General features: G+C 45.8%; 1 protein-coding gene and 1 long non-coding RNA gene across 14 annotated transcripts in view, besides 6 other annotated features; one reads left to right on the plus strand and one right to left on the minus strand.

Moving 5' to 3' along the window:
• Positions 6675-7430: an enhancer, noted in NCBI's record as "OCT4-NANOG-H3K27ac hESC enhancer chr8:127559131-127559886 (GRCh37/hg19 assembly coordinates)". NCBI's record gives its function as "activates a minimal SCP1, AML or CMV promoter by ChIP-STARR-seq in naive and primed H9 embryonic stem cells {active_cell/tissue: H9 hESC(naive and primed)}" and the evidence as "EXISTENCE:reporter gene assay evidence [ECO:0000049][PMID:30033119]".
• Positions 11643-12152: an enhancer, noted in NCBI's record as "H3K4me1 hESC enhancer chr8:127564099-127564608 (GRCh37/hg19 assembly coordinates)". NCBI's record gives its function as "activates a minimal SCP1, AML or CMV promoter by ChIP-STARR-seq in primed H9 embryonic stem cells {active_cell/tissue: H9 hESC(primed)}" and the evidence as "EXISTENCE:reporter gene assay evidence [ECO:0000049][PMID:30033119]".
• Positions 12232-18267, minus strand: LRATD2 (LRAT domain containing 2). Of its 6 annotated transcripts, none has more exons than NR_156466.2 (3): positions 17823-18267; positions 16054-17274; positions 12232-13292 (listed from the first exon to the last, which is right to left on the minus strand). NR_156466.2 is itself a non-coding variant. In XM_017013108.3 (3 exons), the coding sequence occupies exons 2-3, from the start codon at positions 17176-17178 to the stop codon at positions 16246-16248; spliced, it is 879 nt and encodes a 292-aa protein (XP_016868597.1). In that variant the 5' UTR covers positions 17179-17274; positions 17823-18267; the 3' UTR covers positions 12330-16245. The 6 variants fall into 6 exon arrangements, 3 of the variants coding, with proteins under 3 accessions (NP_777571.1, XP_016868596.1, XP_016868597.1); XR_007060705.1 differs by having other exon boundaries at positions 17809-18267; XM_017013108.3 differs by having other exon boundaries at positions 12330-16981; positions 17036-17274.
• Positions 16212-16331: a silencer, noted in NCBI's record as "silent region_19521". NCBI's record gives its function as "represses an Ori minimal core promoter by ATAC-STARR-seq in GM12878 lymphoblastoid cells {active_cell/tissue: GM12878}" and the evidence as "EXISTENCE:reporter gene assay evidence [ECO:0000049][PMID:35858748]".
• Positions 16542-16691: an enhancer, noted in NCBI's record as "active region_27929". NCBI's record gives its function as "activates an Ori minimal core promoter by ATAC-STARR-seq in GM12878 lymphoblastoid cells {active_cell/tissue: GM12878}" and the evidence as "EXISTENCE:reporter gene assay evidence [ECO:0000049][PMID:35858748]".
• The window catches only part of LOC105375751 (uncharacterized), a 463156-nt gene continuing 455484 nt past the window's right edge, over positions 17665-25336 (plus strand). For all 8 annotated transcript variants that reach the window (NR_188069.1, NR_188071.1, NR_188072.1 and 5 more), the window contains exon 1: positions 17665-17720. This is a non-coding gene — a long non-coding RNA (uncharacterized LOC105375751). The remainder of the gene's footprint in view (positions 17721-25336) is intronic.
• Positions 17669-18505: an enhancer, noted in NCBI's record as "NANOG-H3K27ac-H3K4me1 hESC enhancer chr8:127570125-127570961 (GRCh37/hg19 assembly coordinates)". NCBI's record gives its function as "activates a minimal SCP1, AML or CMV promoter by ChIP-STARR-seq in primed H9 embryonic stem cells {active_cell/tissue: H9 hESC(primed)}" and the evidence as "EXISTENCE:reporter gene assay evidence [ECO:0000049][PMID:30033119]".
• Positions 18220-18399: a silencer, noted in NCBI's record as "silent region_19522". NCBI's record gives its function as "represses an Ori minimal core promoter by ATAC-STARR-seq in GM12878 lymphoblastoid cells {active_cell/tissue: GM12878}" and the evidence as "EXISTENCE:reporter gene assay evidence [ECO:0000049][PMID:35858748]".

The raw sequence follows: 25336 nt of genomic DNA on the forward strand, positions 1-25336 counted from the left end.
GAGGTAATTGAATCATGGAGGCAGTTTCCCCCGTGCTATTGTCGTGATAGTGAGCGAGTTCTCACGAGATCTGATGGTTTTATAAGTGTCGGGCATTTCCCCTGCTGGCTCTCATTCTTTCTCCTGCAGCCCTGTGAAGAGGTGCCTTCTGCCATGATTGTAAGTTTCCTGAGACCTCCCCAGTCATGTGGAACTGTGAGTCAATTAAACCCATTTTCATTACAAAATACCCAGTCTCAGGTATTTTTTCATAGCAGTGTTAGAAAAGACTAATACACCTGCCATGAGTTTTTAAATTTTTATTTACTTATTTATTTATGTTGAGACAGGGTCTCACTCTGTTGCACAGGCTGGAGTGAAGTGGCACGATCACAGCTCACTGCAGCCTCAACCTCCCAGACTAAGGTGATTCTCCCACCTCAGCCTCCTGAGTAGCTGGGACTACAGGTGTACGCCACTATACCCAGCTAATTTTTATACTTTTTTTTTGTAGAGACGGTGTTTCATCACGTTGCCCAGGCTGGTCTTTGAACTGAGTTTAAGCAATTCACCCACCTTGTCTTCCCAAAGTGTCTGGGACTACAGGCATGGGCTACCATGCCTGGCCCAGATTTTGTAATTTCTTAAGTACTCTGAGAACCCTGATGCAATCATTGTCTCTTAGTTGACTATTTCAGTCATTTGCAAGTAAATTGGAAATGATGGAACATCCAAAACAGTTGCCAAATCCTTACGATGAAACTCTCAACATTAGAGTTAGCAGATTTAGCTATTGAAAATACAAGATGCAATATTTGGGACATACTTGTACTAAAAAAATGTATTCATTGCTTATGTGAAATTCAAATTTTACTGGATGTCCTGTATTTTATCTGGCAACTCTAATTTAACTCATAAGGAAATCTCTTGGGGCAGTGCTTCTCACACTCCAGCTGCATTGGGATCACCTGGAGGGCTTCTTAAATCAGGTGGCTGGGCCCTGCCCCTAGAATTTGTGATTCAGTAGGGCTGAAGGGGGCCTGAGATTTGCTTTCCTAACAAATTCTCAGATGATGTTGCTATTGCTGGCACGGGAGCCACACTTTGAGAACAATTGTCTTAGGAAACAGTCAAGGAATCAATTTCATATGTGCTTAGCAAATTTCATGACCTCTCTGTGCTTCCATGACCTTAACTGTAAGATGGAGAGATTAATAATAAATACCTCAACCTACTTCTTAGGGTTCGCTGCAGGATTAAATGAGTTTACATATAGAAACTGCTTACAATAGGGCCTAGCACTTTCCTGTGCTATATAAGTGTAAACTTGTTATCATCAATATCATTATTATTCCCTCCTGCCTTCAAATTAAAAAGCTGAAAAAACTCTGCTTTTCATTGATCTTAATAATGACCATCCAGAGTTGTCAAAAACATGCTAAAATGATGCAAAGAAGTTTAAGAAAACAGGCAGCATTACATATTAAAAAATACTTAATGAAAAATGGTAAAAGATAATGGTGTAGCTGCTGTGAAGAACAGTTTGGCAGTTCTCCAAAAAGCTACCATAGAATTAACATGTGATCCAGCAATTTCACTTTCAAATATATTCCCAAAATAGTTGAAAACAGGAACTTAAATACTTGCATGCCAATGTTCATAGCATTATTCCCAATAGCCAGAAGGTGTAAACAACCCAAATGTCCATGAACAAATGAATGTTTAAGCAAAATATGGTATATACAAACAATTGAATATTATTCACCCATAGAAAGGAATGAAATACTGGCAGGGCATGGTGGCTTACGCCTGTAATCCCAACACTTTAGGAGGCCGAGGCTGGCAGATCACTTGAGGTCAGGAGTTCAAGACCAGCCTGGGCAACATGGTGAAACCCTGCCTCTAATAAAATACAAAAAAATTAACTGGGCGTAGTGGTGGGTGTCTGTAATCCCAGCTACTCGGGAGGCTGAGGCAGGAGAATTGCTTGAACCTGGGAGGCAGAGGCTGCAGTGAGCCAAGATGGCACCACTACTGCACTCCAGCCTGGGTGACAGAGTGAGAATCTGTCTCAAAAAAAAAAAAAAAAAAAAAAGGGAAGGAAATACTTACACATGCTATGTTTTAGATAAACCTTGAAAACATTATGTTAGGTAAAAGCAGTCAGTTCTCTCATCCTCCTGCCTCCCTCTGGTAAAGAGGCTTGAGATTACATTTGGTGCTCCCGCATAATTTAGGCTAATCTTTCCATCTCAAGATCCTTAACTCAATCATACAAGCAAAGTCGCTTTTGCCATGAAAGGTGACATATTCACAGGTTCTGGGGATTCAAATGTGGATATCTTTTGGCAGAGGGGACAGTATTCTGCCTACCAAATCATCTCACCACAGGATTGGAAAAGCTGGCCTTGGAATCTCAGTCTTATCATTTAGCAGCTGTGCCACCCTGCTTACCTAACCTCCTCAGCAGCACCCTTAAAATGGCCATAAATGCGGCCTTGCTGGGCCATAGTGAGAATGATGATAACGAGTCGCAGGAGCTGGGCCCAAGAGAGCCCTCAGTGTGAACAGTCAGCATTATTATTATGATCTTAAGACCTCTAGTTTTTCCAACAGGAGTACTATAAGGTTTAGACTTAAGTGAAATTGCTGGGTGAAATGCTAAGTTCTATTCAGATGTTGGTTATGATATTTTCTCAAAACAATCAACCTACACGTTTCCTTTATTTTTCATTTCATTCCAGGTCATTTGGGGATGAAGAGGTGGGTAAGGCTAGCCAAGCAGTCTTCCCTGCAGTCCCTACTCTTAGCATCATACGTAACTGTGTCTGGAAATAGAACATGCACTGTCACTTTTTGATATCTTATTTTAAAAGGCAAAACTAGGAAGCTCCTGATGAAAAACCAATGTGAGAAAATGTTCTATGATCAAAATTAGCAGGGTATATGAATGTGCTGAGCTATGTAACAACATCTCAGAGCGTAAAAAACAAGCATCTCTTTATTCATTCAGAAGTATTTATTGAGCACTTACTATTGTCCAAGTACTGTGTTAAGCACTGGGTATACCGTGGTGATCAAAGCAACTGAGGTCCTTGCCCTTATTCTAGTGGGAAGAGGCATACAATAGGGGGATAAAAAACTATGGGGCTGGGTGCGGTGGCTCATGCCTGTAATCCCAGCACTTTGGAAGGCCAAGGTGGGCTGATCACTTGAGGTCAGGAGCTCAAGACCAGCCTGGTCAATGTGGTGAAACCGTGTCTCTACTAAAAATACAAAACTTAGCCGGGCATGGTGGCAGGCACCTGTAATCCCAGCTACTTGGGAGGCTGAGGCAGGAGAATTTCTTGAACCCAGGAGGCAGAGCCTACAGTGAGCCAAGATCACACCACTGCACTCCAGCCTGGGCGACAGAGTGACACTCTGTCTCAAACAAAAAAGAAAAAAAATTCAGAGTGAATCCAGCAACTAAGTGCTTGGGACTGAATTCAAATGTCTGCCATAGAAGAAAACTGGTGACTCACTGATTTGAATTTTTGAATTTTTGGCAGAATAAATGAGTCTCGTTCAGGTTGTAAAAAATAAAATACTAATAGAAACTTAATATATTATTTTTTGCTTATGAGTAGGCAAATATTTTCAAACAATTGAGTATGTTATTAGCATTATTGAAAATTGGCACCATCTTTTATAGAGGGCCATACGGTTGTTCCTATCAAAATTTGACGCTGGGTGCAGTGTGGCTCACGCCTGTAATCCCAGCACTTTGGGAGGCTGAGGAAACGGGTCACCTGGGGTCAGGAGTTTGAAACAAGCCTGGTCAACATGGCAAAACCCCGTCTCTATTAAAAATACAAAAATTAGGCTTGGTGGTGGGCACCTATAATCTCAGCTACTCGGGAGGTTGAGGCAGGAGAATTGTTTAAACCCAGGAGGCGGGGGTTGCAGTGAGCTGAGATTGCGCCATTGCACTCCAGCCTGGGTGACAGAGTGAGACTCCATCTCAAAAACAAACAAACAAACAAAACAAAACAAAACAAAATTTAATTGTGCATGACCTTTATTTAGAAATTTCACTTCAGTGATTATATCCTTCAGAAATACATATATGCCAAGAACAGGTATAGCAAGATGTTTGTAGTATCATTTGTAATTAGGAAAAGTTGGAGATGGCTTACATGGGCATTAATGAGACAATGGTTAAATAAGAAACAGAAGCTGCTTTCCTATAATAGCCAGCTGTTAAAAATGTTCCAGACACTTTATGTACTAAAATAAAAGTCCTGATTTATTGACGAGGTTTTTTAAAAAACATGGCAGAGAAATATGGGTAGCAAGATGTAATTTGAGAAAAAAGAAAAAAAACCTGGGTGCAGTGGCTCATGCCTGTAATCCCAACGCTTTGGGAGGCTAAGGCAGAGGGATCTCTTGAGGCCAGGAATTTGACACCAAACTAGGCAACATAGTGAGACTCTAACTCTACAAAAAAAAAAAAAAAAAATTAAAAACTACCCAGGTGTGGTGGCTCATGCCTGTAATCCCAACATTTTGGGATGCTGAGGTGGGCGGATCACTTGAGGCCAGGAGTTCAAGGCCTGCCTGGCCAACATGGTAAAACCCTGTCTCTACTGAAAATACAAAAATTAGCCAGACTTGGTTGAACCCAGGAGGCGTAGGTTGCAGTGAGCCAAGATCGCACTGCTGTGCTCCAGCCTGGGCAACAGGGTGAGACTCTATCTCAAAAAATAATAGTAATAATGTAATCTAATTGGCTGAATCTATATCAGCAATATGAAAAAAGGGAGTTACTAATCAATTTCTAGTATTGTCTCCCACGTTCCACTCCCTATCCCACTCCAGTTGTCACACACGTGCAAGGACAGATATGTGTGTTTCACCATTAAAATAAAGGGCTGATAAGATGGGAGCAGGATTATGTTGGAATCTTTCTCTGATAAGACATGCCCTGCCTGCTTAACCTTCCCCAAGAAGTCTATTGCTTACCCCTCCCTCTTCCAAGAGGTGGGTGGTTGGGGTGGGGGAAAGGTTAGCTGACCCCACTCAGTGGCGCCCTAGGCCTGGGGCTTTCCCGAACCTTATCATCACACTCTATCACAGGCATTGCATCTACTATCAGCCTGTCTGTCTTCCTGCCAGGGAATGTGGGCAGACACCTGAACCACGTGGTATTCCTGTTTTCAGACCCAGTGGTAGAACAATGCTTGGTGGGCTTTCATAAACACTTAAGGAATGAACAGACATGGCTGTAGCCAGGAACGTCATTTGGCTTGGCGAAAGCAGCAGAGGGGCCTGCCGACAAGTGTCTCTAAGGCCAGATAAGAGCAGCTGAAAATAGTCCAACTCTCAGCCCTGGCGGAGGAGGAAGGAGAAATAGTTGCACGAAAAGTTATTTTCCTGGATACTGTAATAGTGGATTTGTCAAAAACCACAGAATGTACAACACAAACAGTGAACCCTAATGTAAACTATGAACTTTGGTGGATAAAGACCGGACAATGTCAGCGTATTGATTGTAATAATTGTACCACACGGATGCCTAATGTTAATGGGGTAGTAGTTGTGGGGAGAGGGGGAGGAGGGTCATGTGGGACCTCTCTGGGAACCTAAAACTGCTCTAAAAAATAGTGTCTTGGCTGAGCATGGTGGCTGACGCCCGTAATCCCAGCACTTTGAGAGGCTGAGGCAGGGGGATCACTTGAGGGCAGGAGTTTTAGACCAGCCTGTCCATCATGGTGAAACCCCGTGTCTACTAAAGATACAAAAATTAGCAGGGCATGGTGGTGGATACCTGTAGTTCCAGCTACTCAGGAGGCTGAGGCAGGAGTATCGCTTGAACCCGAAAGGCGGAGGTTGCAGTGAGCTGAGATCGTGCCACCGCACTCCAGCCTAGGTGACAGAGACTCTCAAAAAAAAAAAAAAAAAAAAAAAAGTTTTAATTTTTTAAAAAGTACCAAAATAAATGTCAGCACAAAAAGCTATCACCATTTTGATGTTTTATGGCTTTATGGACAACTCTGCTATTTCTGAACTATGAGAAGAAACAGATCCTCTCAGAATACATCAGAATAAAGTGTGCATATCCACTGAGATACACAAGCATTCTCTCCACGGGGTGTGATGTGTTGCCTAAGAGTAGAGTCAGATGGTAAAGAGAAATATACTCTGAGATGGAAAACAAAACACAACAAATCATGAATGAAGCAAAATTTCAAACAAATGAAAACCCCTGAACATGCTTTCTAAAATAAACGAGACATGGATTAATTTGCTTTTTCCCTAGCCACTGCTTAGGTTTGGTTTATAATATTAAACATAATGTCAAAATTTGCCAGTTCAAAAAAAAATTTTGGGGATAGTGCCAACTTTTCACAACAAAAGCACTTCCTGAAATTCAGTCAATTATTATCATTATTAACCATTTTTTTTTGTTTTTGTTTTTGTTTTGAGACAGAGTCTTGTTCTGTCACCCAGGCTGGAGTGCAGTGGGTCACTGCAACCTCCGCCTCCCAGGTTCAAGAGATTATCCTGCCTCAGCCTCCTGAATAGCTGGGATTACAGGCTCCTGCCACTATTTAGTAGAGATGCAGTTTCACCACGTTGGCCAGGCTGGTCTCAAACTCCTGACCTTAGGTGGTTAAGTGCTGGAATTATAGGCGTGACTCACCATGTCGGGTCCTGTTTTTGCACATGAATGAGGTTTAGGGTGAAGGACAAGGAACAAGTATTCATTAAAACAAAGAGCAACATCTTACAGCCATCTCAAAGGATAACATTACACCTGAAACCTTGCCACAGATTGTGCTGTGTGCTCCACACACACAGACCCGGAACCAAGTTCCTAGCATGGTAAAGGGACTTGCTCAAGGCCACACATCTCAAATCAAGCCATTTGCAGTGGAGCCAACGCATAGGGTCACCATGCCACACCTAAGTGCCCTGTGATGCACTAAGCTGTTCATGTAAGTCAATGAATAGCTTAAGGGAGTAGGCACTCCTAATAGCCTTGGTTTTTAGATTAGTCAAGGTGGCTGAAAGAAGTTACTAACTTGCCCAAGGTTACATTGGAGGTCAGGGGTTGGAGCCATGATGAGAAGCAGGCTATGTGGCCTGATGTCTATATGTACTGGGGGGCGCTAAAGAAGTCACGCAAAGACAGAGGAGGAACAATAGAAGGAGAGACTGTCACAGTGCTTGGCAACAGGGAGGGTGGGGTGATTACCCTGGGGCCTGTTACTGTTACCCATAAGAATGCAAAGTCCTTCTGGATGAGTTGCCTCTCTTGTTCCTGCTTCTTCTTGCCTCCAGGGTTGCTTCAATAAAAGTGGAAGCATAAATGCTATTCAGATAATGCGTCATGCCACTTGTTGGAGCAGAAGAGGGTTCCGAGTACTCTCCATGGGGTGACAGGAAGGGCAGGGAAGGGGTGATCAGGTGATCTTTCAGTGTAGGAAGAGTAGCCTGGGGCTTTGGAGACCAGCTTTCCTGTTCCCGGCCAGAAGTTGTCATTTATTAGTTATGTAATTTGGGACAAATCACTTAATTTCCCTAAGCTTCTTTCCTCAACTGTAAAATGAACATAATATTAGTATCTGTTCAGAAACTCTGTGGTGATTAAAGTAGGACAGAGTGGACAAGGTGACATCGTCATTGTTTATGTTATTACTGTAAAATCCCTTTTTGTCCCTCCCTGACTACCCAGAGCCCAGTGTCTTAAAAATGCTCAGTAACGGGTGCATGCTGGGTAGTCCCAGCTACTTGGGAGGCTGAGGCGGAAGGACTGCTTGAGACCAGAAGTTCAAATCCAGCTGGGCAAGATAACTAGTCCTAAACAAACAAAGTGCTCAGTAAATATGTGTTGAATTAATTAGTATACATATTTAATAATATGTGTAAACAGAGTAAATGGTTAATCTACTAAAGAGCGATGGTCAAAAAATGATTTCTTAAAAAAATTTTTTTATTGTTTTGGTGTTTTGTTTGTTTGTTTTTGAGATGGAGTCTCACTCTGTCGCCCAGGCTGGAGTGCAGTTGCGCCATCTCAATTCACCGCAAACTCCACCTCCCAAGTTCAAGCGATTCTTCAGCCTCAGCCTCCTGAGTAGCTGGGACTACAGGCGTGTGCCACCACACCTGGCTAATTTTTATATTTCATCATGTTGGCCAGACTGGTCTCAAACTCCTGACCTCAGATTACCTGCCTGCCTTAGCCTCCCAAAGTGTTGAGATTACAGGCGTGAGCCACTGTGCCTGGCCTTATTATTATTGTTTTAATGAGATGGAGTCTCACTGTATTGCCCAGGCTGGTTTCAAACTACTAGACTCAAGAGAGCCTCCCAATTTGGCCTCCTAAAGTGCTGGGATTACAGGCACGAGCCACCTCACCTGGCCAAGAAATATTTCAAACATTACGGCATCTGCTAAATAATTGAAGTATTTACTAGTTATCTCTTTCTTATCTTACCAAGTTCTCATGCATAGCTAAGAAATTCTCCAAGACCAAAGGGAAGACCTCGCTCTCCCACACGATAACTTCATTTTGACTAAGGCTTTTGAACACAAACAATACCCCAGATTTCCCTAGTCAATCATACTAGTTTTTTTTTCTTTTCTTTTTTTAAGAGGGAGTCTCACTCTGTCGCCCAAGCTGGAGTACAGTGGCGTGATCTCGGCTCACTGCAACCTCTGCCTCCCAGGTTCAAGTGATTCTCCTGTCTCAGCCTCAAAGTAGCTGGGATTACAGGCACACACCACTATGCCTGGCTAATTTTTGTATTTTTAGTGGAGATGAGGTTTCACCATGTTGGCCAGGCTGGTCTCAAATTCCTGACCTCAGGTGATCTGCCTGCCTTGGCCTCCCAAAGTGCTGGGATTACAGGTGTGAGCCACCACGCCCGGCCCATACTAGTTATTGATCTGAGATTTACATGCAGTATTCCATTTTGTCCTCACAAGCACCATTTTAAGGTAGATTTAGTTCAGTTATATTATTACATATTATATACTAGTTGTATTACTTTACTAATGCAACCGAAGTTCAGAGAGTGAATTGGTGGATGCCATTAACTCGTTATAAGAGGAAGTGGGTTCCAAGAAAGTAACTTCTGCCAAGGTTACTGGCCTAATAATAAGCGAAGGCTGGAGGAGAGAAAACCAGGTCGTTTGACTGTAAAGCCTTAACCACTATTCAATATGGTGTGCCCAGGTCAGACCCTCTACCTGCAGGTTAGCTTTGTCACTGAGAATTCTCCAAAGTAATGAGTTTAAAAAGAATGCACTGACTATCAAGACAACTAGATTCTTGGAGTTAACTACATTATATAAGTTTTCCAAAGAAAGTATCAGAGTGTGCATCTTTTGAGTCATTTATGGTCACACTGGACAAGACACTAGGTACTATATTATGCCAATGGCTTGCCAACTGAACAAAATAACCTGTTCCCCAATCACAATTCCAAGGCTGTGGCAGCCAGGTTATAAACCCTCCTGCTCCATTTTACTACTGCTCTTCCATCCAGCCTGGCCAATGCCACTTGTCCGTTGATTTGCACCCAGGCAAAGGCCCGACTTCACAATCCATTCCATAACCTGGCTGGCAATATAAGTCATCCTTAGCACCCTTCCACCCAGAACAACCTCTAGTTGCCTTCTGTTCTAGAGGTTGTCTTCTAAGAGGAAGGGAAGATGGAGTCACTTACTTGCTCTCCCTGTTCAATGCACCCTAAAAAACACTATCACGTTCATTCTTTTCAAACCAGTCGCAACATCATCTTGAGATAATCTAGGGGCTTTTTAGTCTGGCAAAGTCCAAACTCAAAATTCATTTACTCAAACTATTTTCAGTGGGGGTTTCTTTGCCTGGTACTGTGTAAGTGTTGGAGATACATGAACGAGTTGGACAACTTGTTGTAGAAGAGAGCCCCAAGGAGAAATGGGTGTGTACCAGGAGCATGAAGCAAAGGCATTTTGAGGGCACTTGAGGTCCATTCATTCACTCTCCAGCCTTCCTCCCTTAATGTAATCAGTACCCATTCTGAAGCCCCTGGCTCCCTCCTCCACTTCTGGGGTGCAGCAAAAATACTTCTTCAGGGAAGATTTTTTTGACTCATTGATGGGGAGAGATTCTCCTATACACCCTGTACATTTCCTTCATTTCACCTATCACAATTTTGATAAGTAGTTATCTGTCTCACTTAATTAGAATGAAAGTTACATGATGATAGTAACTATGGACTTGGTTTATCTTTATTTTTCTATTTTTATTTTTTGAGTCAGGATCTCACTCTATCACCTGCCCAGGCTGGAGTGCCATTGGCATGATCTTGGCTCATTGCAGCCTCAACCTCCTGGGCTCAAGCGATGCTCCCACCTCAGCCTCCTGAGTGCTGGGATCACAGGCATGTGCCACCACACCTGGCTAATTTTGTTTATTTTTTGTAGAGACAGGGGTCTCACCATGTTGCCCAGGCTGGTCTGAAACTCCTGGGCTCAAGCAATCTCTTTGCCAAGGCCTCCCAAAGTACTGGGATTACAAGTGTGAGTCACTACATCTGGCGAGGATTGGCTTTATCTTTGGATGTTAGGCACAAGGAATTGAAGAGCCTCCAGGTTAATTGTTTAGTGAATATTAGTTATATTCGTTACTTCCTTTTCTCCATCATTTGTATCTTCATGCATTTGGTCTACCCGATTTCTCCACATGCCCAATACGTTTTCAAACTCTAAACTTTCTCATATCTGTTTTGAGTATCTACCAACCATCCATACTTTACAGGTCCACCTTTTATTATAATCTGTCCTGTATGTACGAGTGAAATTGATTTCCCCTTAGAAATAGGCTCAAGGGCAGGACTATTTCTCAAGGTTCTTGTTTTTCGACCTCTTTATTTCTAGTTCCCAGGCTAGGGCTCAGCATCTTCTAGCCCTTCATAGACAGTACCTTACTGCAATTGCAAATGCAGACACTAGCCATTCTTGCATCTACTCTGCAGATAAAATTGCTATTTGTTTAATGAGTAGTTTCCCCAGAAAACTCAGTAAAAGGAAATAACGCTTTTCTGCACATATCCTGGGCCTGTTCATTTCGGAAGTCGCAAACATGTCATTTTCCTACATTAAGCGAGCTCAGTCCACATAGGAGAAATAGGAACCACAGCCTCCGTCAAAATCACCCAAGAATAAATGCACATTGTGTACTAAGTACCCCTTCCCCTGCTTTCTCATCAATGAGAGCTGAGAGCCATGATACATTAGACTTCTGCTTTAGGGATAAATGGCCTCATTGCTGCTTGGGCTCCCTATAACCTTCATTCAACTTTCTTCCTATTAAAAATTATCACAGGAGACTGTTTTTTTTGTTGTTTTTTTTGAGACGGAGTCTCGCTCTGTCGCCCAGGCTGGAGTGCAGTGGCGCGATCTCGGCTCACTGCAAGCTCCGCCTCCTGGGTTCACGCCATTCTCCTGACTCAGCCTCCTGAGGAGCTGGGACTACAGGTACCCGCCACCAGGCCCGGCTAATTTTTTGTATTTTTAGTAGAGACGGGTTTTCACCATGTTAGCCAGGATGGTCTCGATCTCCTGACCTCGTGATCTGCCCGTCTCAGCCTCCCAAAGTGCTGGGATTACAGGCGTGAGCCACCGCGCCCGGCCATGGAGCCTGTTTAAAAGCCCAGGCATTTGAACCCCACAGGATTGTGGTGGTGGCTTCAGGCGCTGGCCTAGGAAGTGCACCCAGTGGCATCCCACACACCAGTCTGATGCCACATCTGTTCTCTTACCAACCACTGGCACCTGCATCCCTTATGCCAACAGTGCCGTGCCACTATGTTCACCCATTTTCTGTAATTATGTGGCAAATACGTTCCCTTCATCTGGAACTCTGAAGCCACTTAAGATGCAACACAGATTCCCGGTGGGCTACTAAACAGACTGCCCAGTGTAGACTCCATAATGAGTGTGGTTTCCAACAATTTTTGCATGGATTCTGAAAAATCACTATGTATTGAAAATTTATGTTCATAAGTCATTTTTCATGAACACTGATAGTTCAGCAATAACTGATTTTCACAAAGTAGATGCAGGGTTTTCAGTCACTAAATGAATTCAACAAAATGTTTACTGTGCAATACAAAGGTGATGCACGCTAATATTCTCAGAGAAATTATAGGAAACTGAGTAGCTTGAATTTGGACCAAAAATGTCAGAAAAAAGGTATTCAAGTGGAAAAAAATCCAGTGAACTCTAATAGATGGTTTATTGGAAACGCTCATAGCATCTTTTGAAAAGAACTTGACAGGTTTTATTTTAATAAGACATAGTGAAGAGGAAATGGCTTAAAAGATATCATCAATCTTTTATTTAACTAAGCACTGCCCTTCATTTTGAAGGAAATGATACAATTTCAAATCGGAACTTCCTTCTCAAGAAGTGATATAAGAATGTAACATTGATTTAACATACAACCTTCAACAAAAATAAAGTTTATACAACTCACTGGGAAATAAAATGCATGTGGAATTTATCCTGTTTGTCAACATAATTCTTCATGAGTCACAAGTATTATAGCCAAGAACAAAACAACAAAAAGCTGAATCAGTTGATAGTTACTCTGATTTAAAAAACATTTCACAAATAAGATGTAGCTTTCCAAACAAATCCATTCGATGACCATTATCACAACTATATTTTATTCTAATTTATAAAACAAAAAATGGTTAGACAAGCACATGATATCAAGAGTCTTCAACACAGTGGATTCCATTTTATTAAGAAAAAAAATAGAAAACAAGTAGTCCTTAAATTGTCTTAGCTCTCCATAGCATACGTTATATAAAATTAAAGTTTTGCTTCCAAAAATATGTTTCCATGTGGTCGTGGTGTTGTCCAGTGCTATTAGGGCCAAAGCACCAAAGACATGAGAAGTTTAACCATCGACTTGTCATTTTTCATAAAAACTAAACATTTCCTTATAGGTCTGGAGTAAAATCTTCTAGGCATTTTAGTGCTAAAAGTCACTTTAAATTAAATGTGAAATAAAAGCTACAAAAAGTATGAGTTCTTTCAATACAAAAAGTTGTGTAGCTGAAGTTGTGGGCTCCTTTGACATACATAAGCAGTTTCAATAAAATATTTGCTCAGGTAAGAAAATAGAAATTTGTCTGCTTTCATTTAGCATACGTTCCAGTCGATGTCCTGCTTATCCCTGCCAGAACTTCTGAAGAACATTAGAATCGATATTTCTTTCCTTCAAAGAGCATCCGTAATTCACAGTACAAAACAGTTCTACAGTCTTATTCCTAAGGAGAAACAAAAATTATTAAATATGTTTATTTTTTCTAAAGTGTCAAATGTAGCCACTGCCAGGGCATTAAAAACTCACTTATCCACAACACTGCCGTCTTCAGGAAAGAACCAAGAGTTGATTCATTCCCCTTTCCTGGAGCTGTTACTAGTTGGTTGTTGCTTTAAGTGTAATAACCCTAAGAAAATTCCCAATAAAAATCACTGTTCTTAAGTGTCACATATTTCACACCTCTGGTACCCTGTAGAAACGCTTGTATTACATGGGAAAGCAGCATCTGAAAAGATCTATTTCCTATTCTAGTTCATTTCCAAGCCCTGTTATTGAAAACCTCTTCTCTAGAAGAGAGAGTCACTGCTCTCTCTTAACACAGTCGCTGCTATACTTCAGCGTGACTGACCATACATCATTTTCCATTCTGGGACAGAGGAAGAAGACGGGTGGGGGAGTTGATCTGGCTAGCCCAGAGCTGGACAGTGCCATTCTATTCTTCCCTCCCACTTGTCTACACGGTGGTTATTACTACTTGCTCTGCTGCCCAGGCTGGAGTGCAGTGGTGCGATCTCGGCTCACTGCAACCTCTGCTTCCCAGCTTCAAGCAATTCTTCTGCCTCAGGCTCCCAAGTAGCAGGCATTACAGGCGCCTGCCACCACGCCCAGCTAATTTTCTGTATTTGTGGTAGAGACAGGGTTTCGCCATGTTGGCCAGGCTGGTCTCGAACTCCTAACTTCAGGTGATCTACCTGCCTCAGCCTCCCAAAGTGCTGGGATTACAGGCATGAGCCACTGTGCCCGGCCTACCTTCTATTTTCACTACTGTGTTAAGCATGAAAGAAAATCCAACTGGGTTAGATACAGCAGGTTCTCCTAAATGTCTTAACCCATGTTTATCTTGTTCTGCTATTCCATGAGCAAAGAGAATAAACACAAAGCTGTGAGAGTATTAAATATGGACACTAGATTTACATTTCCAACAAGAAATTCATCTCCCTCCAAAGTCCCAGACCAGGGCTAGAATGTGGTTCATTTTTAACAATCAAAGTGGCAAGATCTGTTTGGTGATCACTGTAAAAACAGGAAACATAGCTAATGCCCTTTCATGTTGAGGTGCTACAAAGGTCCAAGCTTTTAAAGACTATGGCCTCAACGTCCATGTGTGAAACAAGTGTATTAGAAAATTCTTTAAGTCTTGTTGCCTTAACTTAGAGATCTCCAGGCAACAGGCCTGACGATAGCCATGGCTGTACCACTTAACTATGATTCTATTCCAACTGTTCAGAATCATATCACAAAATGACTTGTACACAGTAGTTTACAACGACTCCCAAGAGAGGAAAAAAAAAAAAAGACGCCTCAAAATTCACTCAACTTTTGAGACAGCAATGGCAATAGGCAGCAGAGAAGCTATGCTGCAACTGAGGGCACATATCATTGAAGATGTCACAGGAGTTTAAGAGACAGGCTGGAAAAAATCTCATACTAAGCAAACAGTAGTATCTCATACCAAGCAAAACCAAGTAGTATCTGCTCAGCCTGCCGCTAACAGATCTCACAATCACCAACTGTGCTTTAGGACTGTCACCAAAGTCAGATTCGGTGCTAACCAGGTGGCATCTATGATCAACGTCGCCCCTCTTATTTAACAAAGGGCTCTGAAGGAGGTGTTCTCCAAGCAACAAGGAGACTGCTTCAGTACAAGACTTTGCACCTTGAATTCAATTGCATCAAGTGTGGATAGCAAAATAAGTATCTTACCATTGAAATATGTGTTCAGCCTAAGATTTTACCCACCAGCAGAACAAAAGTGAGGGTGAGAGGGATGGGCCAGTGAGGGGATGGGGGAGAAAAAAAAATCACAGGATTACCACCAAAGCCTTGTTTTAAAAGGGCTCCCTTCACTATTCAGGAAGGGAAGTGGAAGGAGAAATTAACCAATTCCTGCCACAGCAGCCCTTTTTGGCTGCTTCCACAATAGATACTTTATGGAGTGGCACAGCCAACCCTATCTGTGACCTGCCCTGCGGATAAACACAGCCAAGCAGGTTTAATTAGATCAAAGACACAAAGGGCTATTCCCTCCTTTCATAACAACGCAGCTGTAAGTGCCTACAACAGCAGGGGAGAAACAAAGGCAGCAGAACAGAACCTTAATTGAAACCTTCCCCTGGCTGGCCCTTGACAATGATTTACTTGTAACCTAGGAAGGGGCGGGTGGAGCAGGAGGTAGCAGGAGCCTCAGCTAAGAGCCAGCTCCAGAAGGCTAATTACTTGGGGGTTGTGGAGGAGGGAGGTAGCAAAGTCTTTGTTTGTAGCCCGAGTTTGCTTAACTATTTGTTACACTTAATAGGAGGCTGCTGTGGTTTTGGTCTGCTGCTCCCGGACCTTGTCATGGATTCACCAGCCCTGCGCTCCAGGAATCCCATAAAATAAATCACCCCAGCCTCCTGGATCCCATACACAGCTCAGCTCCGCCAAAGCAGACAAGCAGCTTTCGTGCTGGTCCCGCAGTGGCGACTCCACAAACCCACTCTGGCCTTTCTACCAGGATTCTTCCAAGCCCAGGATAGGAAGCAACGGCAGGAATGGGTACTCCGAACTTTCCCCCAACCCCACGTGCTTAAGAATGGCCGATTATAAACCCAGATCTACCAAGGTTTAAGTGCCAGGCAAGTCCACAGTTTGCTCCACCGCGGAGAGGAAGACAGACAGGGGGCCAGAGGGAGACGCCCCCCACCCCCAACTAAAGTGTTTCCTACCTGCTCCCTCTGTCCCCTTCCTCCTCCCCCGTCCACAGCCGGCTGCGCATTTCACCAACTCTTTTCCAAAGGGCCCAGGAATCCCAGATGGGGCCCAGACAGTGGCAAAAGAGGGAGGAAGAGAGGGAGAAAGGGAGCAGCGGCTGCTACTGCAAACAGTTCCCCTTCGCAGCTCTGCGCTCAGCTCGCCCATCAGTGTGCCACTGCCTCTCCGTCCTCCTCCTCGGAGCTGGGCGCAGGGGGGCGCCCGGGAGGCGGCGTAGTCCGCGCCACGTTGCTGTCGCCCTCCTCCGGCTCCGCCGGGTGCAGGTGCGTGGCGAGCTCCTGCAGCACGGCCGCGCGCCCGATCTGGTCGTTGCGTCGCTTCTCCATGATCAGGTCCTCTAGACTCTGGAACTCGAGCGTGTGGCTGCGCTGCGCCGACAGCTGAATCTGCAGCCGGTAGGGCTGCTTGCCGATGCGCAGCTCGCCGCCGATCTTGAACTCGCGCTTGCCGTAGCGGCACCAGGCGGCGAAACTCTCCGAGTTGCGCCAGCTCAGCTCGCGCTCCTTGGCACCCACGTGCGCCAGCGCGTTGCGCACCACGGCGCTGGAGCTTAGCGGCTTGTAGCGGTACAGATCGTTGACCACGCGGCCGCGACGGCCCTGGCTGGCGTCAGTCAGGAAGCTGTTAATCACCTCCAGCCGGTGCAGGTGCACCACCTGGAAGTTACCCACATATACGGCCCAGTGCGGGTACTGAGCCTGCGACACGAACTCCACCAGATCGCCCGGCTTGCACTTGTTGAGCAGGTTCTCGGGCGTGTAGGTACTCAGCGCCGCCGAGCCCGGCGCGAAGCTCTTCTGGTAGATGCATTCGTCCCGGTAGAACACGGAGCATTCCACCTCGTGCAGCCGCGGATCGTAGGGCTGCGGCTGGGGCGGCGGCGGCCCGTCCCCACCGTCGGGCAAGCCGCCGCCATCTGGCCCCTGAGGCGGCGGCTGCGGCTCCACGTCCTCATCGTCATTGGAGAAAATGTAGGAGACCCCAATGCGGGGCCCGTCGTCCCGGTCCACGCCAGTCGGGTCGGCCGTGGGAACTTCCTTGTAACTTAGGTGGGTCAATTTCTCCACCTGGTTGCCCATCACGCTGCGGACACACGTTCACACCGCCGCAAGGGGAGAAAGCGAAACCAACTCCAGGGTCATTTGCACAGGTCCCCGGACAGGGGCTGAGGCTACCTGTTGGGAGAGGAAGGCAAGAAAGCCATGCAGGAGCCCCTCCGTGAAAAGGGCGTTTTGTTCCGAAAAAGAATCGGTGGGGGCTCAGCACCTGGAGCCATTTTAGGGGGAAGTCTCGGGTGTAGCGAGCTTTCCCTCGTTTCTCCACCTGTAAGGTCACGGTCACAGGAGACTGGGCAACTCCTGTTCTCCCTGTCCCCAGCCCTTCGCCTGGCCCTGGCAAAAGCCCATTGCATCAGCAGCTTCTACTGCTTCCGCCTGCGCCCTACCTGCCAAGCTTGGGCAGGAAGAGGGAAGGAAAGAGAAACTTTACGCCAATCCCCCCCCTCCTCTGCTAACTTCCCCTCCCACCCTCGGGCCCTAACTAGCCCCGGGGACGCCTCCTCCCCACCAACGCATCCATCCCCAGAGGAACAAGCGAGGATCTCAGAGCGCGACCTGGACAGGTGAGTCACCCTACCTGGCTCACCTGCAGCGCTACCTCCTCCCGGCTCGCCCGCCCTTCCCCCGCGCCCGCCCTCAGGCTCGGGTTACCTGCACAAACTCACCCGCGGAGAGGTGAAGGCCGTGGGGCCTGGGGAAGGGCTCCCTGCCGCGCCCCGAGACTTCTAGGGCGAGTTTGAAGGTGTAGGCTCGGCAGTCCCTCCTCTCCCGGCGCGGGCGGCAGCGAGGCTGGGCAGAGGGCAGCGCAGCGGGCAGACTAGGGGCATGTCTTTCCCCCGCGGCTGCGTAGCGCCCCGATACTTGAAGGCGGGGGGCAATCCCTGTTCACACCGCGCTTCCTCCCGCCAGCTGGGGCTGCTGCCCCTCCTCAGCCAGCTCTCGGGGGAGGTGGGGCGCGAGGAGGAGAGGACGGCAGCCTCGCAGCCTGGCGGCAACAGCTCCCGCTTGGGCCGGGCGAGCAACAAGCACCGGAGCTGGAGGGACGGGATTGTAGATCCGGCTCCGGGCTCCCGGGCGGGAGCGCAGCCCGTGGCATTTAAAGAGACAGGCGCTCACTCCCCGAGCTCGGGTCTTTTTCACATTGCGCCGAGCGGCCGGGAGCCCCGCCCCCGCCCCGCCCACTCGGGCCTCGGGACTCCGCCCGGCCACGCCCCCGCGCCGGAGCGGGTTTAAATCCCCCTGTAAATAATCCACCCGCCGCCTGGGGCTGGTGCTGTGAGCTCTGCTTGCCTTCCGAGACAAGTTAGAAGGCAAACACAACTTGCCAGTGTGGAAATGAGAAAGGGAAGGAGAGTTTGGTGTTTGCGCCTTTTCCCTTTGACCTGTTTTTTCCCAGAGTACCTGGAGAAGGAGGAACAGTCGTTTCTTTTCTTTCCTGGAACATATTTCTTGCCCTAAAGGTCACAAGAAAGGATTCTTCACCAGGACAGCTCGAAGAGTGCGTCATCCTAGAGGTGTTTTCAGAGTTAGTAGTGGGAAACTTTGGGGTAGAAAAGAAAATCGCAGAAAAGAAACAGTATAAAACAGAACGAAGACTTATTCACTGACTGGGTCCCAAGACCACCGCTCTGTTTATTAGATACCCCTGGAAGTTAGTACAAAGTTCATAACCTCCGTTATTTCCAGAGAGGTACCAGTTCGTTGGATAGTGAGAGAAGCGTGCAGCTCTGACTGCTTTTTTTTGGGGGGGTGGGGGGTTAGGGGATGTAGGAATTGCCTAATTCCTACATCCTAATTCTAATTGTCCTTAAATTAGAAACAAATTAGCAGAGGCCCTAGTGGATATATTTCCTTCCTGTTGACTTAGGGAAGTGACAGGAGACCAGTAATGCCTACTAACCTCCACCACAAAAGGACACTTCCACCTCTCCACTGGTTTCGTTTCTTTTACCTAAATGTAGGCTACCAAAGTGTTTTTTTTGTTGTTGTTGTTGTTTATTTTTTTAAAATAATGGGTCCGGTGAGGGTGGAGGATTAACAGCTCTGTTTACAATAAACAAGTTTAGGCACTACTGCAAGCACCCAGACTTATTCGTAGGGGACTTAAGAATGCGATTCAAGACCTATATTCTGTCTTCAGTTGCTTTCTTTTGACTAATTTTTTCCAGCATGTATAACCAGCCAGTGGAAACAGGAATATACTAGCACTACTGTGATCCTTTCTAGTTTAGGAGAAAAAAATAAAAATCATTCTACTTATGTAATTTTGAGTCCAAACAATCAATATTGGCAGGGCTGTGATAGAAATTAGTCCTTCAGCAAGTCTGAAGTATAAGTTAGATCAACATGAGACTACTGTGTGCTGTGCGATTCTGTTTCAATAATTTCAGACTGGCTGGCCTCAGGCGCATGTGACTGAATGAATCCAACACACCCCAGTCCTTTTGATAGCAAATGGTGTGGGGGGCTGCTGTTACCTGAGTGATATTTGTTGCCATCATATGATCACCATATTATAGACAAGAGTTAGGCTTATAGAGATTATGGCTGGTCATCCTATGTTCATCAGATTGGGAGACCTCTGCTACTGCCTGATTTGGGAGGCCACTTTGCTCCTAGGTGCTACTGGGATGGCTGGGAATGGGAGAATTGAACTGAGAGGACACAGTTGTAGGACAATTTGCTACCAGCACTCTAGGTCAGAGATCTGGTGGGTGAGGAAGCAATGCCTAGCTGACTAGGTGTGTCTCCTTTTGTCTTGATGAGCTGTTCTCAGGTGCACAATAGTGGCTCAACAACATATCTTGAACTGACCAACTATAAAGCCTCAGAGGGAACAAGCCCTGATCCATTTTATATCTGAATGCCTGGCACTGAGTGGGTACTCAATAAATGCTTGATGGATGCCTTAGGGGAAAATTTGGCCACAGGTCAAGAATTGCTTCCTGGTTTTATGGGGCTGTGAGTGAGTGAGTGAAGAAATGTTGCCTTTTGATAGCTGGCGTCTAGTGTAGATTCTTCCATGAATGCCTGTTGAGGGTTCAACATCCGTCTTGTCACCTGGAACATTTGGTCAGAGATTACAACATGGCTCTCAGACATGCTTTGCTCATTTCAAATAGTTGTTTAATAAATTTAAGCTTGTTGTCAACAATTTGAAAACTTGGGAGATATTAAAAAATTCATATTCCCAGTTTCATTTGAAAAATCTAAAGATATGAGACTTGGCTGGGCGTGGTGGCTCATGCCTGTAATTTCAGCACTTTGGGAGGCCAAGGCAGGATCACTTGAGATCAGGAGTTCGAGACCAGCCTGGCCAACATGGTGAAACCCCATCTCTATTAAAAATACAAAATTAGTAGCCGGGAGTGGTGGGGTGCGCCTATAATTCCAGCTATTCAGGAGGCTGAAGCAGGAGAATTGCTTGAACCCGGGAGGCAGAGGTTGCAGTGAGCCGAGATCACGCCATTGCACTCCAGTCTGGGTGACAGAGTGAGACTCTGTCTGTAAATAAAATAAAGATATGAGACAATCAGACCCATATTCCAGGATGGCAACAAATTGCTGGAGAGAAGTGGTAGTTGCCTTGCGGGTGAACTATATTCTCCAGTTGGATCCAGTCCCTGTCCCCCACACCTCACGTACCTAGGTCCCTTGCCTGGTCCAGGAAGCTCTCTGTTGGCCACCTTTGCCATCCAATACCTGTACTACACATTTTATTACCTGAATATGTGTAACTCAGCACTTGATCATATACTATCTGGTATTATTCTCTAATTCATGTATTAAAGTTCATATTCTAATTAATATATTTATTCATGTCTTTTCTAAAGAGGACTTGGTTCAAAATACATTTCATGAAGACATACTGGGTGCCTGCTAGTCTTAATCACTGTGCATCCAATTCTACAATGGGCACTGTGCTAGGTTTCTTAGATGTTCGTGTCCCCAGGTAGTCACCATATTGGAGGAGACAGAGAAATAAATAGACTCTTTGGGACACTGTGACATGTCCTGTAATAAGACATAGAGGATGCTGGGGCGGTAAGGTGATGTTTCAAGGCATGGTGGATACAGAGATTAATGACCAAGTGCCTGCCAACAGGGTCTTGGGCTCATCGGGGAAACACAACTCTAAAATTAATAACTCCCATGGAGTGAGCTCTTGATTCTTTTATAAAGGAGAAGAAAGGTTAGAGAGGCCATGGCTTCTCCCAGCTGGTAGGTGGAAAGATCACACAAGCCCACTTTACTTCCAGGCCCATGCTTTTTGTTTTGTTTGTTTGTGTGTTTGTTTGAGATGGAGTCTCACTCTGTCACCCAGGCTGGAGTGCAACGGCGTGATCTTGGCTCACTGCGACCTCCACCTCCCGAGTTCAAGCGATTCTCGTGCCTCAGCCTCCCGAGTAGCTGGGACTACAGGTGCCTGCCACCACACTGGGCTAATTTTTTTATAAGTTTAGTAGAGATGGGGTTTTGCCATGTTGGCCAGGATGGTTTTGAACTCCTGACTTCAGGTGATCTGCCCACTTCAGCTTCCCAAAGTGCTGGGATTAGAGGCATGAGCCACTGTGCCCGGCCAGGCCCATGCTTTTAACTTCTTTGTTTTAAATAGAATCCAACAGATTCTACAATATTTAACAAATATTTGGGTGTCTGGGTTTACCAGACTCCAAGGATACAGTTGTGGATGTAGCAAGCAACGTCCCCGCTCTTATGGCTTTTACATGTTGATGAGAGGAGGCAAATAATAAATAAGTAAATGAATCAATGGAAATATCTGAGAGAGAGAGAGCAGGGCTATGAAGAAGGTAAAATAGGGAAATGGGATTGAATAGCTGTCAGTAAGGAGAGGGTAATGGGGGTGGCCTACTTGGGTTAAGATGGTCAGGGAAGGGCTCCTGAGGAAATAGAAATGAGCAGAGACTTGAAGGATGAGGAGCCAGCCTTGATATTACCTCCAGAGGGAAGACCAAGAGCAAAGGTTAGAGGGGGAAAAGACTGGAAGTGATTAGGAAAAAGGAAAGACTACAGTTGTGACCAGAGTACAGTGAGTGAATGTAGCTATGACAGGAGGTGCAGGTAGAGAGGTGGGCGAGCCTTTGAGTTTAAGGGCATCCAGGCAGCTGCCCTACAGGAAATGGACTGCAGGAGCAAGAAAGGAAGCAGGTCCCACAGAGGCCTGGGCTGTGGGAGGAAAGGCATCCCAGGCAGATGGAGGCTGGAGGAAAGCAAAGAGCAGGCTGGGAAAATGCCTTCCCCAAGAGCAGCAGTTCGATAAAGAAATATTAGTTGGGTTTGAATTCTCAGCCATACGGCAGCTTCATCCCCCCAACAGTGACCCGAGTGTCACATCCCACACACCTCTTCGGAGGAGGCACTCAATAAAAACAAGTTGTGTTGAATGCCAGTTAGTCACTCTCACAGTACTCCTGTCTAGACCAGTGGGGAATAATTGAGAACTGACATTTCTGCCTGACAAGGCGTCGGCCCTGACTCTGCAGGTGTGGTAGAGATCTCAGTTTAAATGGCTTGCTCCAAGAAATACAAAACAGGAGCACAAGGGCAGAATTATCTTGATTAGGCAATCTGGAACTCTGCCTGTTCCCTAGGCTGGGCCCCAAGCTCATGGCAGCAGCAAAGGGCTGAGCGAGTTTGCTGGGAAACAGCTCCCTCCACACCTTCCTTACAGTGGGAAATCCTTAGACTTACCTGCACCTCTTATTCACTGCTGGGGTTTTGTTGTGACTTTTGGAGGTAAGCAATAGCAAATGGAGCCAGATGACCTGGGCTAATCCTATTTGCCAACTGCATCATCTCCGAGATGTCTCTTCTCCACTCCGGGCTTCTTTTTCCAAACTCTAAAGGGAGGCTGATGATACTGTTTGCCTCACTTGTGAATCCTCAGATGAAACCCTCTATATGGAAGCACCTTGTAAATCCTAAAGGCTATGTAGATGCCAGGCATTATTGACACTCCAGGATAATGATTTTAAAATGAAGACAATGATTTTTGTTTTTTTTTTTTTTTTTTTTTTTTTTTGCGACAGAGTCTCATGTTGTCACCCAGGCTGGAGTGCAGTGGCGCTATCTCAGTTCACTGCAACCTCCACCTCCCAAGTCAAGTGATTCTCCTGCCTCAGCCTCCTGAGTAGCTGTGACTACAGGCGTGCGCCACCACACCTGGCTAATTTTTGTATTTTTAGTAGAGATGGGGTTTCACCATGTTGGCCAGGCTGGTCTCAAACTCTTGACCTCATGATCTGCCTGCCGGGGCCTCCCAAAGTGCTGGGATTACAGGCCTGAGCCACCATACCCAGCCTAGATAAGATTTTGTAATGGGGAATAAAAAGGTAACCAACCATTTATTGTGGGCATCCTCTTACAAAATCTCCCTATCAGTCCTATGGTTGACATTTCCCAAATAAGAATACAAAGGCCCAGGGAGGTCAATATGAATCTTGCCCACTGCAAGGGGAGAGGCTGGATTCGAATCCAAACCTGGCTGCTTCCAGGTCTGTTTTTCACACTGTCCAGCAGCCTCAGGGAACACCAGCATATATGTTTGTTTGCTCAGCCAGAAACTGACAGGTCTGAGTGACCAACATACTTAGTTGGCCGAAGACTTTCCTGGTTTTAGCACTGAAAGGCCCACCACATTCTAGGCAAACTAGGACAGCTGGCCACCCTGCTCGGGTGCCTCCCTGTCTTGGTCATTGCTCTCCCTAAGCCAAGGGCTGTCATGAGGGTGAAGCTGGGGATATTGCTAGGATAGAGCAGGAAAGGGGGAGAAGAGCAAAGAGAAATTGATGTTTTAGTCCAGTCCCCACTCTTACAACGAGCCCCCATTGCCAGGCGAGGTTATACATACAGCAGCAGCTGCATAGACAGGGCCATCCAATAAAAGGGACAGTACATATTATAGCCTGCTTTTGGCATTCATTTTTATTTTAAAATCAGACTCTTCACAATAGGTGAGGCCTGGGCCTGTCTCACCTTTGAGAGCTGCTGGCCTGTAACTGCTTTCCTTAGCCCTCCCAGCCTGCCTGCCTTTGACTGTAAGTCCTGCATAAAGAGTTTCACATTTTGGCTGAATTATTACTTGACCTTCAGATGAAGGAAGGAAGCCCGGAGGCTGTGGAATGACATCCTTTTCCTTGGCTTCTGCATTTTATTTGCTTAGATCAACAGAGCAGATTCTGAAGCTGTCTGGGCAAGAGCTAGTTTACCCTGTGGGTAGGGGTGAAAAGCAGGTACTCTGAGAAGGGGTCTGAGGCTGCAGCCCACCCCAAACCAGCTCTCCATGTATTAATCCTGCAGCTAAATTGTCTGTGAGGAAGCTTTTAATCTTTTCCTGGAAGAAGGTACATGGGTGGGGAGACATTGAAGCCAGTCCCTGCTGGAGGCCTGCTGTTTTAGGAGGCCCTGACATCATATTGTTTATGTTGAACCAGAGTTTGATTTGTGCTTGGGAGTCTGAGCTTGTAGCTGGGCTCCTGCAGAAACCTCATGAAAGATGCATTTCACCAGGCAGTTCCAGGGGAGAGACCAGCTTAAATTACAGCTCGACAAATCCAAATATTGGCATATCTGCAAATCCAAATGTGGGGATTTCAAAATATAATCTAAATTCTAAGAGTCTTATTTTGCACTTCTTCTGCAACAAGAAGAGGATGAGATATTCGGAGAGGACACAAAGCTGTCAATAATGAGAGCGGCTTCAGCAGAGCAAACCTGACCTCCTTTTCTTTCCTTGGGCATTCTTCATGCTTCCAGGGAAGAAACCTTCAGACATGAGAGAGGAAGACAGTATTTCTTCAGCGTGGCTTTCTGCAGGACAAATGGGTTGGGGGGACCACCCACCCAGCATTTAGGACACAGGGCTCAACAAATGCAGTTGGTCATTCCTATCTGGCCTGGGGCGAAGGGATCTCCGTGGATTACTCACTCCACTAAAGTCTATTCACAACACAGTAGCCCCAGGGATCCTGACAGACTGACAGCCAAGCTAGGTCACTTTGCTCAAAACCCTACCATGGCTCCCCATCTTCCTTGCAGAAGGGCCAACTTCCTACAATAGCTCCTAAGACCCCACTCCCCCATAACCTCTCTGACACCTCATCATTTACACCTCCAGACATACTAGCCCCTTATTGTTTCTCCCCCATGGCTGTTCCTT

Source organism: Homo sapiens, chromosome 8 (genome assembly GCF_000001405.40).
Source record: "Homo sapiens chromosome 8, GRCh38.p14 Primary Assembly".
In the NCBI taxonomy this organism is placed as follows: domain Eukaryota; kingdom Metazoa; phylum Chordata; class Mammalia; order Primates; family Hominidae; genus Homo; species Homo sapiens.